The 17,774-nt window shown below is 39.3% G+C and overlaps 1 protein-coding gene across 3 annotated transcripts in view, besides 1 other annotated feature; it reads right to left on the reverse strand.

Moving 5' to 3' along the window:
- CLNK (cytokine dependent hematopoietic cell linker) overlaps window positions 1–17,774 on the reverse strand; it is a 248,452-nt gene that overhangs the window by 164,203 nt on the left and 66,475 nt on the right. For all 3 annotated transcript variants that reach the window (XM_011513775.3, NM_052964.4, XM_017007684.2), the window contains exon 2: window positions 17,262–17,314. In XM_011513775.3, coding sequence (XP_011512077.1) covers window positions 17,262–17,314 — 53 coding nt within the window. The remainder of the gene's footprint in view (window positions 1–17,261; window positions 17,315–17,774) is intronic.
- Window positions 12,503–12,680: a silencer, noted in NCBI's record as "fragment chr4:10664724-10664901 (GRCh37/hg19 assembly coordinates)". NCBI's record gives its function as "represses an EF-1alpha promoter that drives an FKBP-Casp9 reporter gene in an ReSE screen in K562 erythroleukemia cells {active_cell/tissue: K562}" and the evidence as "EXISTENCE:reporter gene assay evidence [ECO:0000049][PMID:32094911]".

The following is a 17,774-nucleotide window of genomic DNA, read 5'->3' on the forward strand; positions in this document are numbered from 1 at the left end:
GAAAACAACTGTCAATCTGAAATTATATGTCTAATAAATTCTAATGAAGTTATCATTGTAAGAAAATAAAGGCTTTTTTAGCATTAAAAAGTCTTTTCTTACTATATGCTTTCATTTAAAAAAAATTCCAAATTTTGTTCTTCATACTGAAAAATGCAATCCTCAATGGAAGGTTTGACATATAAAATTTGCAATCTATGCATCTGGCAAAAGGCTAATATCCAGAATCTACAAGGAACTTAAACAAATTTACAAGAAAAAAAAACAAACAACCTCATGAAAAAGTAGGTAAAGGATATGAACAGACACTTCTCAAAAGAAGACATTTATGCGGTCAACAAACATGAAAAAAACCTCATCATCACTGGTCCTTAGAGATATGCAAATCAAAACCATAATGTGATACCATCTCACATCAGTGAGAATGGCGATCATTAAAAAGTCAGGAAAGAACAGATGCTGAAGAGGATGTGGAGAAATAGGGACGCTCTTACACTGTTGGTGAGTGTAAGTTAGTTCAACCATTGTGGAAGACAGTACGGCAATTCCTCAAGGTTCTAGAACCAGAAATACCATTTGACCCAGCAATCCCATGACTGGGTATATACCCAAAGGATTACAAATCATTCTACTATCAAGACACATGCACACATATGTTTATTGCAGCACTATTCACAATACCAAAGACTTGGAACCAACCCAAATGCCCATCAATGATAGACTGGATAAAGAAAATGTGGCACATACATACCATGGAATACTGTGCAGCCATAAAAAAGGATGAGCTCATGTCCTTTGCAGGGACATGGATAAAGATGGAAACAAACATTCACAGCAAACTAACACAGTAACAGAAAACCTAACTCCGTATGTTCTCACTCATAAGTGGGAATTGAACAATGGGAACACATGGACACAGGGAGGGGAACATCACACACTGGGGCCTGAATTTATGATTTCCTTTGCCAGTTTATTTAGAATAAAGTTGCATGTGCTTTAAAAAATAAATAAATAAAATAAAATATGACCAAAGACAAAGAGTATGCTAACTATTTGGGTAAATATTTAAAAGTATTGACTGTTTGAAACATTAATAATAAAAATCTTTAAAAAATTAATTAATAACAGAATTAAAATTCATGACAGCAGTAGCATATAAATTGTGAGTGATCAGAATTCAAGTGTTGAAAGTTCCATTATTACTCTACAAGACTGTAAATATATCATTTAGCTATAGATGTTGATAATTTACTTGTGTATTAAAATATCTATGGAAATCACAAAATAGTAATAGAATATATAATAAACATAAGATAAACTGATAGAAGTAAAATGGAGTTAGAAAAATACACATACATATATGCACACAAACAACAGGAGATCAAAAAAAAAGAAACAAAAAGGGGGGTCAAATAGAAAGCAAAAAATAAAGTTTAGAGATAAATGTCAGTAATTTTAGTAACTGTAAATGGAGAAAATTATCTAGTTAAAAGACATTTGAGGCCAGGTGCAGTAGCTCATGCCTGTAATCCCAGCACTTTGGGAGGCCAAGGTGGGTGGATCACCTGAGGTTAGGAGTTTGAGGCCAGCCTGGCCAACATGATGAAACACTGTCTCTACTAAAAAATACAAATATTAGCCTGGCATGGTGGCGAGCACCTGTAATCCCAGCTACTTGGGATGCTGAGACAAGAGAATCACTTGAACCCAGCAGGTGGAGGTTGCAGTGAGTGGAGATCGCGCCACTTCACTCCAGCCTGGGTGACAGAGCAAGACTCTGTCTCAAAAAAAAAAAAAAAAAAAAAAGGAAAAAAAAGACATCTGTTTCACTAGATTAAAAATTCTGTATGTTTTTTATAAGATATATACCAAAAATGTAAGAATAGAAAAGTGTCAATATAAAATGATATAAAAGATGGAGCATTAAAATACTAAAAGAAGCTTGCTTGGTTATTATATTAATGGCAGGCAAAATAAACTCTTCAGGAAAAGATGTTTTTCCCAAGCAGGTCACTACATTACAACATAAAAATTAGTTCACCAGGAGGGAATAATAGTTTGAAAATCCTGTTTCAATCATACATGTATTTGCAAATAACTATCAGGAAACAGACAAATTCACAATTACTTTAAATGTTTTTAATGCCTGGTCTTTTAATAATTTACAAAATTCTTGTTGATATTTCTATAACACTGCATGCAATTATGGTGGTATCTACCTTCTTTTCATGCACACATGGAATATTGCAAAAAAATGCCCCTTATATCATTCTACTATAAAGACACATGCACATGTATGTTTATTGCGGCACTGTTCACAACAGCAAAGACTTGGAACCAAGCCAAATGCCCATCAATGATAGACTGGATAACGAAAATAAGGCACATATATACCATGGAATACTATGCAGCCATAAAAAGGATGAGTTCATATCCTTTGCAGGGACATGGATGACACTGGAAACCATCATTCACAGCAAACTAACACAAGAACAGAAAACCAAACAACACATGTTCTCACTCATAAGTGGGAGTTGAACAATGAGAACACATGGACACAGGGAGGTGAACATCATACAGTGGGGCTTGTCAGGAGATGGGGGGCTAGGGGAGGGATAGAATTAGGAGAAATACCCAATGTAGATGACAGGTTGATGGGTGCAGCAAACCACCATGGCATGTGTATACCTATGTGTCATGGGTATACAAAATGTGCAGACAAACCTGCACATTCTGCACACGTACTCCAGAACTTAAAGTATAAAAAAAAAGAACGTAAAATAAACTCTCAAAAAAAACTCACAAAATAAAGCTTATAGACTATTTTTTACAACTGCCATATGATTAAGTTAGAAATCAGTGACAAGGTAGTAAAAATGCTCCAGAATTTATTTATAAATCAGCAAATTATAATTCAAAGAATAAATAATAATGGGAATTTAATATTTAAAATTAACAGTAATATAGAAATACATAACTGAAATATTTATAGTAGAACAGGATGGCTAAAATTTAATTAACAAAGCACCTAATTTGGCGAATCAATGAAATAACAAACTCATATTGCCAAGAACACAGACAGAAGGAAATAATAAAAAGAAGTTACTCGTATCAAAAATGAAATGAAAATACAGAGGACTACTGAAATTTATTAACCTTTGGCAAGCTTAATCAGGAACAAAAGTGGAGACACCAACAGACCAAGTAAGAACTGAAAAAGGGAACATCATTATAGGCACAACAGACTTTAAAATGGTAAAAGAATATTAGTGAACAAACACGTATGTAGAAAAATATCTAGCAACAAAAATTACTCATGAGGGAATAGTAAAACTGACTATCTTTCTATAACCATCAATGATATTGAACCAATAGCTGAAAATCTTCCCTCAAGGAAATACCAATTCAAGATCAGTTTGCTGAGAAAGGTCCAACGTATTCCCCATTACATAGTCTCTTGTCCAGAATGGAAAATTGGGAAATACACTGCAACTCATTTGATGAGGCCAGCACAAATGTGATGCTAACCAGCAAGGAGAGTGAAAGAAAGAAAATTACAGGCCATTCTCATTAATACTCATTAATGAAACACTGCACTAATGTACTAACAAATAATAATATGTCATGACCAAGTTGAATTTATCTCAGAAATTCAAGTTTCGTTTAACATTACCAAACCCATTAACATAAATCTTTATATTAACAAAAGCAGAAGGAAAAATATATAATCACTTTAATAAATAAGGAAAATATTGATTAAATATATAGATAAATATATATTGATTAAATATATATATATATATATAGAAAGTCTCTTGGCAACCTAGAGTCTTTAACCTGATATTCAAAGCCTACCTAAACCTGAAAACAAGCTTTGCATTTTGTGGTGAAACATTAGAGCATTTACCTCAAGATTTAGAACACAGGTGCCTGCTATCACCACTTTAATCTAGCCTAACCAGTGTAGTCAGGCAAGAAAGAAAAAAATGTAAAGGAAATGGAGAGGAAGAAATAAAATTTAATTACTTATAGATGATATAATTATCTATATAACAAACATAAAAGAATAAACAGATTATTCGAATTGATAAAACTTTTAGGAAGCCTGTTGTCTGCATCCCATCAAAAATATACACTACCAACAGACATGAAAATATGAAATGTTGATATCTTAGCATTTACAATATCATTAAAATAAGTAAAATGTCTAAAAATGATTTCTCGGCCAGGCGTGGTGGCTCATGCCTGTAATCCCAGCGCTTTGGGAGGCCGAGGCGGGCGGATCACTAGGTCAGGAGATCGAGATCATCCTGGCTAACACAGGTGAAATCTGTCTCTACTAAAAATATAAAAAATTAGCTGGGCGCGGTGGCAGCGCCTGTAGTCCCACCTACTAGGGAGGCTGAGGCAGGAGAATGGCGTGAATCCAGGAGGCTGATCTTGCAGTGAGCCGAGATCACACCACTGCACTCCAGTCTGGGTGACAGAACGAGACACCGACTCGAAAAAAAAAAAAAAAAAAAAGGATTTCTCAAAAAGATGTTAAGGTCTGGTCTTTTGGAAAGAAAATTATGAAACATTGTGGCATTATGTTGAAGAAGTTCTCTCTGTCTCTTGGTCTCTCTAGAGATATATAACATGTTCGTGAACTAGAGAACCCAACGTCATAAAGATGTCATTTATCTTCTAAGTTATCTGTAGATTTCAAAGTAATTCCGGCCTAAAACCCCCAAAGACAGAGAGAGAGAGAGAGAGAGAGAGAGAGAGAGAGAGAGAGAAAGCGAGAGAGTGTGTGTGTGTATCCTATATTTACATGAAAGAGCAGACATTCAAGAGCCAACGTCCTGCTGAAGTGCTAGCTGGGGAATATAAATTCCAAGATATCATGAGCTACAACAAAGTTATACTAATTAGGACATGTGCATTGACATGGGGCTGATAATGTATCATGGCAAAGAAAACCTAGAAAAGATCTACCTAATAAAACTTGGTTTACGACAGAGCTGGCATTGCAGATGAGTGGAGGAGGGATAGATAGCATTTTTTTTTTTTTTTTTTTTTTTTTTTTTTGAGACAGAGTCTTGCCCTGTTGCCCAGGCTGGAGTGCAGTGGTGCGATCTCGGCTCACTGCAAGCTCAGCCTCCCGGGTTCACGCCATTCTCCTGCCTCAGCCTCCTGAGTAGCTCGGACTACAGGCACCCACCACCACGCCCAGCTAGTTTTTTGTATTTTTAGTAGAGATGGGGTTTCACCGTGTTAGCCAGGATGATCTCGATCTCCTGACCTCGTGATCTGCCCGCTTTGGCCTCCCAAAGTGCTGGGATTACAGGCGTGAGCCACTGCGCCCGGCCGATAGCATTTTTAATATATAGAGCCGGGTAAATTGTTTATCCATGCGAAAAAGAAAAAGAGAGAAAGAAAAGATCCCCAAACTCCTCCACACTATACACAAATTAATCAATTGCAGGCTATTAAAGATTTAAAAGTGAAAGGCAGATTTTGTGATGTTTGGAATTCAACGTAGGAAGCTATGATCTCATGTTAAGTTTCTTTAAACAATACACAAAATGAATGAATCATAAGGAAAAGTTCGCTATGACTCATTGACCTGAAATTACGGTCACCAAAAGGAAATATCAAAAGAGAATAACAACTCAAGTCACAAAATGAGAAAAGTGTGCAGAATAAATAAATAATGCATACAAATCAATATGAAAACGACAAATGCCTGACCAAAAAAAAAAAAAAAAAAAAATCTTTTGCCTGGCAAAAGATTTGACAAGCATTGTGTGCAGACGAGAAAAGCTTAATGGCTAATAAATATCTGAAAGGATGCTTAGCTACACCATAGTCAACAAAATACAGATTAAAGCTATACTATAGTCAAAAAATACAGATTAAAATCACCCACTGGTTTCGTAAAAATTAAAACTGCCAGTATGGAAGGACTGGCATGACTTTGTCCAAAGTCATGAAGTAACTGGGTCACATAGGCACACTTGTGGGTAGAAAGCATAAAATGACCTGGCTGCTTTGGTAATTGTGACATCGCCTAGTAAAATCAGAGGTGTGCATACGCTGAGTCTCAGAAATTTCAGTCCTAGGAATATACCTTCTGTACAGATACTCCTGAATCTATGCTTTAGGACATGTAAACTGGATTGTTCTTAACAGCACTTGTATTAGCAATATTTAGGAAACAACTCAAGTGTCTATTGACTGGAGAGTGTATAAATAAATGGTATTATATGCACATAAAAATATTATATTTCCATAAAATGGAAATAAATATGGCTATCCACAATAGCATGGATTATCTTTGGAATGTACATTGGGGCAGTCATAAAACAGACTATAGAACAATCAGAACTAAGATTTACATAGCTCACATTATGTTCTAGATGCTGTTTTAAATGTCTTATACAAATTAGCTCATTTAATTCTCACAAGAATACTACAAAGTACACACTATTATTATTTTAATTTTGCAGATGACAAAACAGGTACTGAGACTTCTTAACTTTCTCAAGAACTCATAGCTCGTAACTGGTAGAACCAGTTATCAAAACTCGGCAGTCTGGGTGCAAGATAAAATCTGTAACATGATTCTTTTGGCAGGAATCTCAAAACCCAGCAAAACCAAAGTATTTATAATGATATAAACTAAAGATAAAAGCAAGTGAATGATTAACCCACACTTCAGGATAGTTTTTGCTTGTTAGGGGTGAGGAGTTGTGAACATGAAAGGAGGAATGAAAACATCAGAATTAATGGTAATTCATAAAAACTGAGAATGCATACACATATCTAATATGTTTTATTGTTCTTTATGCCTTATGCATATTTTATAAGTATTCCTTTGTATCTAATCAACATTTAAAGCAATTGAAAACATTAAAAGAGAAAATGAAACCTTGACAAAGATGGTAGAGAAATACTTCATGTTTCTTCATCATAAAACTCCTCGAATCTTTGCAGATAGAGTTCTTAGAAAAATCTACAGAAGATGAACTGGATGTATAATTTCCGTTATTCACAGAATTTTTGTTCAAACAGACAACAATGGGAACAAATGGCAGCACAAATGCCTCTAATTGCAGCCTACCCAAAAGGAGGCATTTCAGGGCAGCAGAATCCAGACGGCCAACACAGGATTTTAAAAATTGTCAGCCAGATTCAGGCCTTTATTCTCCTTCTGATTTTGCACTGCAGCTTCTTCTTCTCCCCGCCAATCGAGAGATATGAAAAATCAAATTCCACCATCTATCCTAAGTAGTCAAATTATCTTTCCAATTACTTAGAATCAGCTTTTGAGCAACAGAAGTCAAATTATCAGTCTTAATGTTATTCTTTACATTAAATCTGGGTAGAAGTTCTCCAGCTGCTGTAATTACTTGAGGAAATCTATCCCCACTGTCTCCTCCATTTGCTGCTTGGTAACATCCCATTGTTCCTCAAGGTCAGCTCACGTCACTGCCTCTGTGAGGATGTCTCCTCTAATGCCACCACACCCCTTCCCAGGATTTGCTCCAAGTAGAATAACCACTCACTCCTCTGTGTCCTCTTAGCACTTTGCACACACTCAGAACAGAGGACCTCTTATTAGCATCCTGCTCACCCACTATCACTTGCTGATTTATTATTATTCTCACTTACAATGAATGTTCTTCATGGTGGAATATCAGGTCCTATGAATCTTTAAATTGTATCCTGAATATCTAACAGCAAAGGCCCTTGCATGAAGCAATGATTGTGATGATGATATAGCCAGCCGACAGTATCTGTTCCAGTCATCTGTTGCTGCCTAACACACCACTCCAAAACAGTAGCTTAAAACGACGGTTTGTTTTTATCTCTCCTGGTTCTCAGCTGGGGGGTTTCCTCTAGGGGTCTCTGGTGCTGTTTCATTCAGATGGTTATTTCAGGGCTGAACTGAGCTGAACGCCCAGACTGGATCCCTGGTTCTCAAGGCGGGTGCCTAGTGCCCCAGCCTCCCTATCTCCCCAAAGGGTGTCTCCCCAGGGCTTCTCCGCAAGGCTTGGGTGTCTACAGTAGAGCGGCCATAGCATATGACTTTGGAGGAAGGTGGCTTCTAAAGGCAGGAAGCAGAGCTGGCCAGACTGTTAAAGACTATGCACGGACCCGACACAGTGTCCCTTCTGTCACACTCTGTTGGTCAAAACTGCTGTAGGCCCATGCAAGTTAAGGGAGGTGGAGAAATAGATTCACCCTTGAATGGGAAGTGTCAGCATACACTGCAGAAAAGCATGTGGGGTGGGATACGTTGTTGTAGCCATCTTTGGAAAGTATTAGATTGGTGTAAATGTAATCACAGTTTTTGCTATTAAAAGAAATTGCCAATTTGGGAGGTGAGGCGGGTGGATTACCTGAGGTCAGGAGTTTGAGACCAACCCAGCCAACATGGTGAAACCCCGTGTCTACAGAAAATACAAAAAATGAGCTGGGCATGGTGGTAGGCACCTGTAATCCCAGCTACTCAGGAGGCTGAGGCAGGAGACTTTCTTGAACCCGGGAGAAGGTTGCAATGAGCTGAGATCGTGCTACTGCACTACAGCCTGGGAAACAAGAGCGAAACTCTGTCTCAAAGAAAACAAAACGTAACACACAAAAAAATGGTAATTGCTAAAAGTGTGATTACTTTTGCAGCAACCTGATTCAATTGGCTACAGCGCCTATGGCATGCTCCCTATGTACCAGACACGGTGCTACACACACTGTATACATTAAGTCGCTTAACTTTCTCAACAACCCTTTGAGATAGTTACTATAACGATTTCATTTAATAAAGAAAATGAGACTCAGGGAGGCTAAGTTCCTAAAATGTCACGGCTCTGTTGGCACATGGCCAACCAATATTTCTGTTGGATTATTGCAGAGCTATACTTCTATTGAAGTATTTGTTCTCCCCAGTATGGGAGACAGATAAATATTTGACTTTATCATCTCCTTTCACGGATTACCTCAACAGAATCCTTTCTAACCTCTCTCAGAAAAAATCCTCCCCACCCCCATAAAAAATACAGAGAAGAATGGAAGTCAAGAATGAAGAACCAAGCTGGAGGCAACTGATATCTGGCTTATGGCAAGTACTTCTTTCCTCTTATTTGTGACCTGATCTCTCTTTACCAGGAATTCTGAAATTTTACACATCTAGATCTCCAGGAATTCCTTTTTTTTTCCTTTCCAAGGGATACATTTTCTAGGACTTCCTGATATTGGTCCCAAATCATATTAATTAAAAACTTTTGGCAATCATTTTACAATTTTACTGTCAGGTGTACTTGAACTTAACAAAATTTTCCTGAAGTCAAGTTTTCTCCTTTCTTATGTCTCATCTGTAGGGGAATGTTGGGCCAATGCAAATTATAGACATGCAAATGACCAGTGTTTTGGACTTCATGGCTAAAATAGCAATCATAAATGCTGGACTTTATTACTGATTTCTCTGTATGTTTTTATAATCAAATACTATTCTGTTATAAACTATCATCATGGATCAGGTTCTCCAAACACTGGTTTAGTTCACAATATTTCCTAGGATGATTGTTTTTCCTTATTTCCATGTAACAAAATGCAGCCTCTTAATATTTGGGCATGATTATGTTAATTGAATTTGTCAAATTAGTTCATGAGTTGTGTTGTTTTCCTGCAGTGGAAGACCATAAAATATGGGATGCCTAAGGGATTGAAAGATTGCATAGCTATAAAACGACTGTAATAACATTGGGAGACATTATACATATGATACTTCAAGTTAAAAACAAAATAGAATGGATAGTTTTATTGGAAAGCCTAAAAGGAAATATCCAATACCATTTACCGTTTTTCAATGATTCATTTAGTGGTAGTTTCTCTTTATGTATATATTTTTGTATCTTAAATGTTTTACAAAGAATTACATTACTTACATGATAACAAACTCATGCATTAAGTACATCAGAGCCTTTATTATTCTTTGTGACATTTTCAAAGACCATAATGATGAAAACTCTAACCTTGTGGACAGTCAGTAGGAGATTTTGTTCAGCTGGAAGTTTCCCAAGTGGTGATAAGCTAGTTAAGTCAACTAGTTCTATCAGCAGCTGGTAATCTTGCCAGTAAGAGAGAGAGAAGACTATCTTGACATCCTCTATTCCCTCATCACCGACCATCTTTATTGAGTCTCGAAGCCAACCACACCTGCTGCTCCTGCAAAAGTATCACTGGCCATGTCTGCAACCTCTGGCAAACTCTATCTCTGGATTTCAGCTATGTTCCCTCACAGCTTGCAGCTTTTTAATTACTAGCCAACCACGAAGCTGAATCCTACCTATATGACTTTGATAGCATCAGAGGACAGACCCAGTTGGCCCGAGAGTTGGTTCATAATTACTTCTGGGTAACTAGGAGGGCAGCCATACTGACTACACAGCTGGGTGTAGGACTCTGATCTCAGGGTGCCAAAATTGCTTGTTCTCATTTTCTCTAGATTCAGTGGGATTTACACTTATTTATTCCTGCAAATCAAAGTGAAGGTGCCCCTGGAGGTCGAAAGCAGGGGTTGTTCACACATGTCATGAAGGAAAATAATGATCTGGAGTTTACATGGAGTTTTATCATTCATACACACGAGAGAAATATCATCTATTGGGCAGCTCCTGTGTGCCAGACATTGAGCCCTCTCAAGAGGAGCTGATACACATCACCACCTAGGAACTGAATACATTTTATTGTGCAAGGTTTCAAAGAGAAAATATGCCTCTAATGGGCAAAACAGTCATTCACTCAGGTGATGTATCCGTGATGAGAAATACACAAGCATGATGTTCTTAATCACTATGTCTTATGATATAAGATCACGGATTTTGGAGTCAGAAATATGTCAGTTTTATTCCTGAATCTGAATTTGGGAAACTTGTTCTTATGTGGCAATATGGAATGCTGTTTTAGTGCTGAGCCATCAGAAAGTATGACATAGATCCTCATGGAGAATGACTAGCACAGTGCCTGGCGTGTCAGGGAGGGTAAACAATTTTTGTATCATTTTTACTCTTTCAGTCTTAAAACTAGACACTGCATTCAAGTGAGAAAAGTATTGCAGAGAAATATCACTATTTTTGCTTAGGAAAATGCAAAATGTCAATGATTAACATTGACTTGAAGGTGACTTTGTTGATGTCAATACAAAGAGGAATTTTCTTGCTGTTTCCTAAGTCATAGGCTCAGAAGGTAATCAGCTCTTTATCCAGAAGAGTGTTTGAGAAGATTCTCAATTCTGTCTCACACAGCTATTGCTAAGGAAATTATAACCATGTGTGGAAGGTAGAATTCTATACCTCTACGAATCTCTCCACCTCTAAATATCTATCTCTATTTTATTGTTTTGTTTACCATCAAAACTCTTTCCAAAACAAGCAAATAGGAAATACATATTCCCTATGCAAGAAAAGAACTGCTAGGTTATTACTAGATAGTATGAACTTGTGTTCCTACATAATATTAGACTATTATGGTAGAGTTACATAATGTATGCAGCATACACAGTGTTGTCTGCTGGGGAGCATCACAACACCGTCTGCTCTAATACTCCTAGAGTATATAGTGTTAAGTTTAATCTTGGTGATAAAACTGCCTCATAAAACTCTATAGGTAGCAACTTAAACGTCCAACACCAAGGGCAAGATAAAATAAACTGCCAAATAAAATACAGGTTCGCCATGCTTGATCTAAATCCCCTGGGGCCAGGAATTCAGAATATGGTGGATTTTAGAAAAGTAACACAGTGCATGTGCTGTACACTGGAACAACCTCTGGTTATTAAACACGCTAATATTTCTGTAGTGAAACATGTGATGGTTGGATTAATTGGGATTAATGAAGAACATACATTACCTCGTTGCATGTCAGGTTTTGCTGTCAAATTAGCTACAAAAACCTTTCAGTATTTCAAAGCCTTTTGACTTTGAAATTGTGGAGAAGGGGTGAGAAACCTTATTTAAGTCATAGCTCAAAACACCATGATTTTAAAGAAAATTTAATCATGTAAGACAATGTTCAGAAAAGGAAACATTGTTATTAAATGAATGACTTAAAACAATGAGTTTTAAAAGTAGATTTTCTAAAATTTTAAGATATTACACATAGATATAGAAAAATAAACTAAGACAACTGTAGCAAGTTAGTGCTGGGTGTTAGGATAATTGGCAATTTTCATTCTTCTTTGTAATTTGTATATTTTCTAAAATTTCCGTCAATACTGGAGACAATTTCACCAATGAACAAAACAAGCTTAATAACTGCTTAAGCCTTATTTCAAAGTGGACACTCTGGAGACCTTTGCTCTCTGATCTATCCCCAATCTGGGATGTGCAAGAGTGACTTTCACCCAAATTCCCAAAAGAGCCTGGGTGGCCAGTGCAGGGCATTGGCTTACTGGAAAGAGCCCAGAAGCAATCACTCAGGTGACTTTGTCTCTTCCAAAGCACTCAGAACCACAGCGTCAAGGTTCTTATCAGTCCTGTCCAGAATGATGAAGAGGTACTGGAAACCAAACCCCAAGATGCCCTTATCTAGCCCCAGCGGTGTAATGGGGCCGCTAGTGGGTCTGTCTGCTCTTCTCTAATAGCACCGAGGAATGAGGCTTTCTGAAGTTTAATGGATTGCTAGGGAAGCTGCAAGTTTTGTTGCAGGGAAAGTCAATGAAAAATAGCCTGCTAATTTCCGAAGCAATTTAGAATCATGACATCCGGATCCCTTCTTAGTACTTGTGGAGTTTTCTCATCACTCTCTATGTAATACGGAAATAATTCTCTTTACATATGGCTAATGCTCTTTGAGGGCAGGGACTAGATCTTATTCAACTTTATAAATGAGGTGTGTGAAATGTATACTCAATAAATAAATTTGTATATGATTTATGTATACTCAATAAATGCTTTTGACTGAACTGATACAATCATATAAAAACATATGTGTGCATGTGCTTGTATTGTATGTCTGCATACATATACATGCATATATACCCATAGGTTCACATACACATGTACATATACAATATATATTTCTATATCATCCATTCATTTATACTTATAAAATTTTCATTGTAAAAGTGCTTAGTGAGAGATAGTCCTATGATTTAAATGTTTGTGAACCCCTTAACTTCATATGTTGAAAGCTAATCACCAAGGTAAGGGTATTAAAAGGTGGGGCCTTTGGGGGCTGATTAGGCCAAGAGGGCAAAACTCCCGTGAAATGAGATTAGCACCCTTATAAAAGAGGTCCCAGAGACATTCCTTGCCTTCTTTACCATGTGAAGACACAGCAAGCAGACGGCTGTCTATGAATCAGGAAGCACTCTCACCAGACACTAAATCTGCTAGCCCCATGTTCTTGGACTTCCCAGCTCCCAGAACTGTAAGAAATAAATTTCTGTTGTTCCTGAGTTACCCAGTCTGAGCTATTTTGTTATAGCCACCCGAGAAGACTAAGGCAGATAGTAAGGAATTAGTCATAGTTACAAAGTCTGCTTAGGATTCCAGGTTATAAAATTGTAAGAAATTCCAGATTATAGAATTATGAGACATTATTCCACAAAACTGGATGTAGATTACATTCAGTTGAGCATTAACAAGTAAAAAAAAAAAAGGAATGATGTCTGACTATTCTGGTTTCTTTGCTTTGGGGAAGGACACTGAAATTGTTTTTGTTTAAAGCCTCCCTGATGATTCTAACGCTCCTTCAGGTTTAAAATCTACTACCTTGAATTGACTGGGTTAATAATTTTGACAAAGGAAGTGAGAACTACCCCACAAGGCACAGCAAAAGGAAAACCTCTGTGTGTGTGGTGATGGGGGGCACACATTTCCAAACTACACTCACACCCAGCCTGACATGTGGCTCCTTCTCTGAGTCATGCCTTGGCGACTGCTGTGGATAAGTTCTCAAGTGTGCCAGGAAGGAAACGGTGCTGGGAACTCCTGTTCTAGTTCAGCACTTCTCAGGCTTTAATGTGTCCAAGAATCAACCGAGGATCTTGTAAAAGTATGGATTCCGACTCAGCATGCCTGGGCTGGGCTGTAGCAGCTGAGATTCTGTGTTTCTAACAAGCTCCCTGGTGATGCTGACACTGCTGCTGTGCAGCCTGCCCTTAGATCAACAGCATCTCCCAGCTCAGGACACCCTGGACAGGAAACCCGAAGGTGGAGAATAAAATGTGGAGTGTACTAGGGCATCTTACCTTTCATTTGTGTGGTGCCAGCTTATGCATTTCTCTTTAATGTGTAAGCGTACTGATGGAGGCGTTCTAATTTTAATATTTACTTTTTACTTTGGGGCAGGCCAGCAGCAATCCCATACGGATTGACTGGCCTGAGGGTGCACAAGAGGAAAGAGTGAAGAAGAGTTTGGGACTAGGGGAGGAAAAGGATGCTCTGAGCTTTAGGAAAGAAGAAGAGTTATTCTTCAAGGCAGGTTCCTAATGTTGAGGTGTCAGATAGTCAAGTGTGAAGGCTCCCCGTGGACTCATCCTAATGGGAGGAAGCTAACATTTGTGAAATGGTGACGGTTTGGCTGTCCTCTGGCCTACGCATTGCCAGCTTCAAATCTAAGGTGACTGTAAAGCTGAAATCACAAAGTTTCCCTTTGGAAAGCTTGGTGAGAAGCCATGTTCAACAGAGACCAACTCCCTGGCTAAAAGACAAAGCCACTGAAAGTCCTCATAAAAGGGGAAAACCTCTCCTCTTACAGAAGAGGCCCTTGGCATAGGGTGGAATCATTAAAAGACATAGAGTCGGGCGCGGTGGCTCACGCCTGTAATTCCAGCACTTTGGGAGGCCGAGGCTGGCGGATCATGAGGTCAGGAGACCGAGACCATCCTGGCTAACATGGTGAAACCCTGTCTCTACTAAAAATAGAAAAATTAGCCAGGCATGGTGGTAGACACCTGTAATCCCAGCTACTCGGGAGTCTGAGGTAGGAGAATCACTTGAACCAGGGAGTTGGAGGTTGCAGTGAGCTGAGATCATGCCACTGCACTACAGCCTGGTGACAGAGCAAGACTTCGTCTCAAAAAAAAAAAAAAAAAAAAAGGCACAGAAGCAGAGACGGAAAGGGTGGAAATCTCAGCTGCAAAGCCAAGCAGATGCTCATGGCAAATATTGACAGACATTTCAAAGCCATCCCACGTTGCCCCTGAAGAGGGGAGTGAGTGTGAAGATAAAGGCTGCTGCCCTGGACTGAATGGTGGCCCTACAACATATCCACATCCAAATCTCCATCGCTTGTGAATGTGACCCTGTTTGGGAAAAGCATCTTTGCAGATGTAGTTAAGGATCTTGATAAGAAATCATTTCTGACTATCCAGGTGACCCCTAAATCCAATGGCAAATATCTTTATATCAGACAACCAGAGGGAGATTTGAGGTGAGATGAAGAAAAGAAAATATGGCCAGAGAGGAGAAGGTCATGTGAAATGGAGGCAGAGAGGAGAGTGATGCGGCCACGGGCAAGGAAAGCCAGGAGCCTCTGGGAGCTGAACAAGACCAGGAAGTATTCTTCCCTTGAGCCTTTGGAGGGAGAAAGGACTTGCTGAACCCTTAATTTCGAATTTCTGGCTCCCAGAACTATCAGTGAATAGATTCCCAGTATTTGAATCCATGCAGGTGGTGGTAATTTGTTAGAGCAGCCCAGGACACTAATACACCTGCTGTGCTGTGTATGCCATCAGCACAAACCTCCAATTTGTCTATCCTATAATGAAACTGCCATTTGCCACGTTTATCCCCAGTGCTAATTTGGGTCTGAGAGTTCATCCCCTTTGTGGTGCAACCACAGGTTAACCAGCTCACCTGGATTGACATCAGCCCTGACTCCCTTACTGGTGCCTTCTCCATTTCCCACAGTCAAAGGAATAATGGAAGGAGCACTGAACTGGGAGTCAGACAGACTTGAATTCCAGCTCCATCTTCATCTCAATGCTCTGAGCCATCTCAGACAAGTCATTTAGATGAAGAAGCTAATTTTCCAAGAAGAGCTAGTAATACCTGCCACCCAGTCCTGCTGTAAGGATCGGGGAGGAAAAGGAGGTCACAACTCCTGGCAAAGAAGGGATGCTTGATTAGCTTAATTCTCACTCGGGTGAGGAGCCCATCTGTGGACTACGTGCCAGGGAGCTCCTGCTGTGCTTTTCATGGCAAGAGGAAGAGCAGAAGCTCCAGCCTTCCCATCCCATGGGCTTGGCTGTGAGTCAGGTGGCTCCACCTGGACACCTGTGGGCATCCATGGGTAGCTGAGATACCGGGGCTGTCACAGCACCTGCTACTCTCTCTGTCTCTTGGACCAGAGCCCTCCAGCCAGTGCCCACCTGCGAGGTACAGTCATTGCAGTCCCCTAGCCTCCCGCTAGGATCAGGACATCCACCCAGAAACCAGGCAGTCCTCCTCCCTGAGTCAGATTCTGCTTTTCAAAGGGTTAAGGAACTTCTTGCATATCCAGAGGGTAAGGATATCATCATTCTCCAGTATCATACAGATGTAAAATGACAGGGCAAGGGAGTTAAAGTAGGTCTGGCCTACCTAACTCTGAAACTCCTGCTCTTTCTAATACTATCACTCTGCTTTTCACACCAAAGAGGAATAACAAAACTACCTTTCTGACTGGTAAAATAAAGCAAATAAATAGATAAGGAGATTAATTTTAAAACTGGTCCACCAAACTTTGCCAATTTCAAAGTCTTTTTTTTTCACTATAAATATTTCTTAAACTTTTGAGTCCTGCTAATTTTTTTTTTTTTTTTACTATACTATAGACATCAGGGATGGCATTTTTTTTTTTAATCAGGCACAAATTTCGGTGTCTCAGACTGACCACACCACTTTTGGTGTCCACAAAGAGAAAGTTGGACTCCAGGCTTTCTCCTGTGGGAAAAAGCACACAAACCACTGTCCTTTTACCTATTCCTTCACACCCATGGGTGGAAACTGTCTGGGTGCCCTTCTAGCATCATGGTGCTCGGATATCTTGTCCCTGCCCACCACACACCCATGCTGGGTGACAGCAAATGCTCTGTCCATGGGAAAATGCTGCTACTGGAAAGAGGAGTGTTCTGAACACCAAAGCCCACAATCTCAACCATGGCCTCTCAGGAAATCCCTTTTCCATGGGCGGCCACATTGGCATCATTTCTCAGTTCATCTTCCAGAAAACACCTCCTGTCCCCACCAAGAAAAGGGAACTGGGGCTCACAGTGATCCCACGGTACTTACTGCCTGTTCATAGTTCTTGGCACCTGGCGGGTAAGAGGGATCTTCAATTCAGCCTGTGGAAACAAAAGCAAACGCGTTACTGGAACTTCCACATCATGTTTTAATTCTGGGGAACAAGCCACTGTTGCTGCTTGTTAAAATCGGATACAGGTGCTGGTTTAAAGGAAATGACAGAAAGAGAATCAATCCAGGTCAAGAATTGGCTTATTTCTGGAACACAGTTGGGGAGGGGATTTCTTTCTCTGACAGGCTGTCCTCTTTCTGTCAGCATTCATCCCATCTGCCCCCGGGAGCTGAGCAAACATAAACTGAGCCTGGTTTTCCCTGGCGTGCAATTGTGTGCTTCCCCTGGGCACCGAGGGCACGTTAGCCAGGCTTGGCTGGCTCTCCTCTGAGCCAGAGCATGCAGAAAGGGTGCTTTTCATTTCCAAATGTGGCTTTACCATAAAATATTTATTGCAAGTTACAGTTCTATATCACTTTACGTAGAATGCAACATTTTATTTGAGCCTT

The sequence above is a fragment of the Homo sapiens genome, chromosome 4 (assembly GCF_000001405.40).
Source record: "Homo sapiens chromosome 4, GRCh38.p14 Primary Assembly".
Classification (NCBI taxonomy): domain Eukaryota; kingdom Metazoa; phylum Chordata; class Mammalia; order Primates; family Hominidae; genus Homo; species Homo sapiens.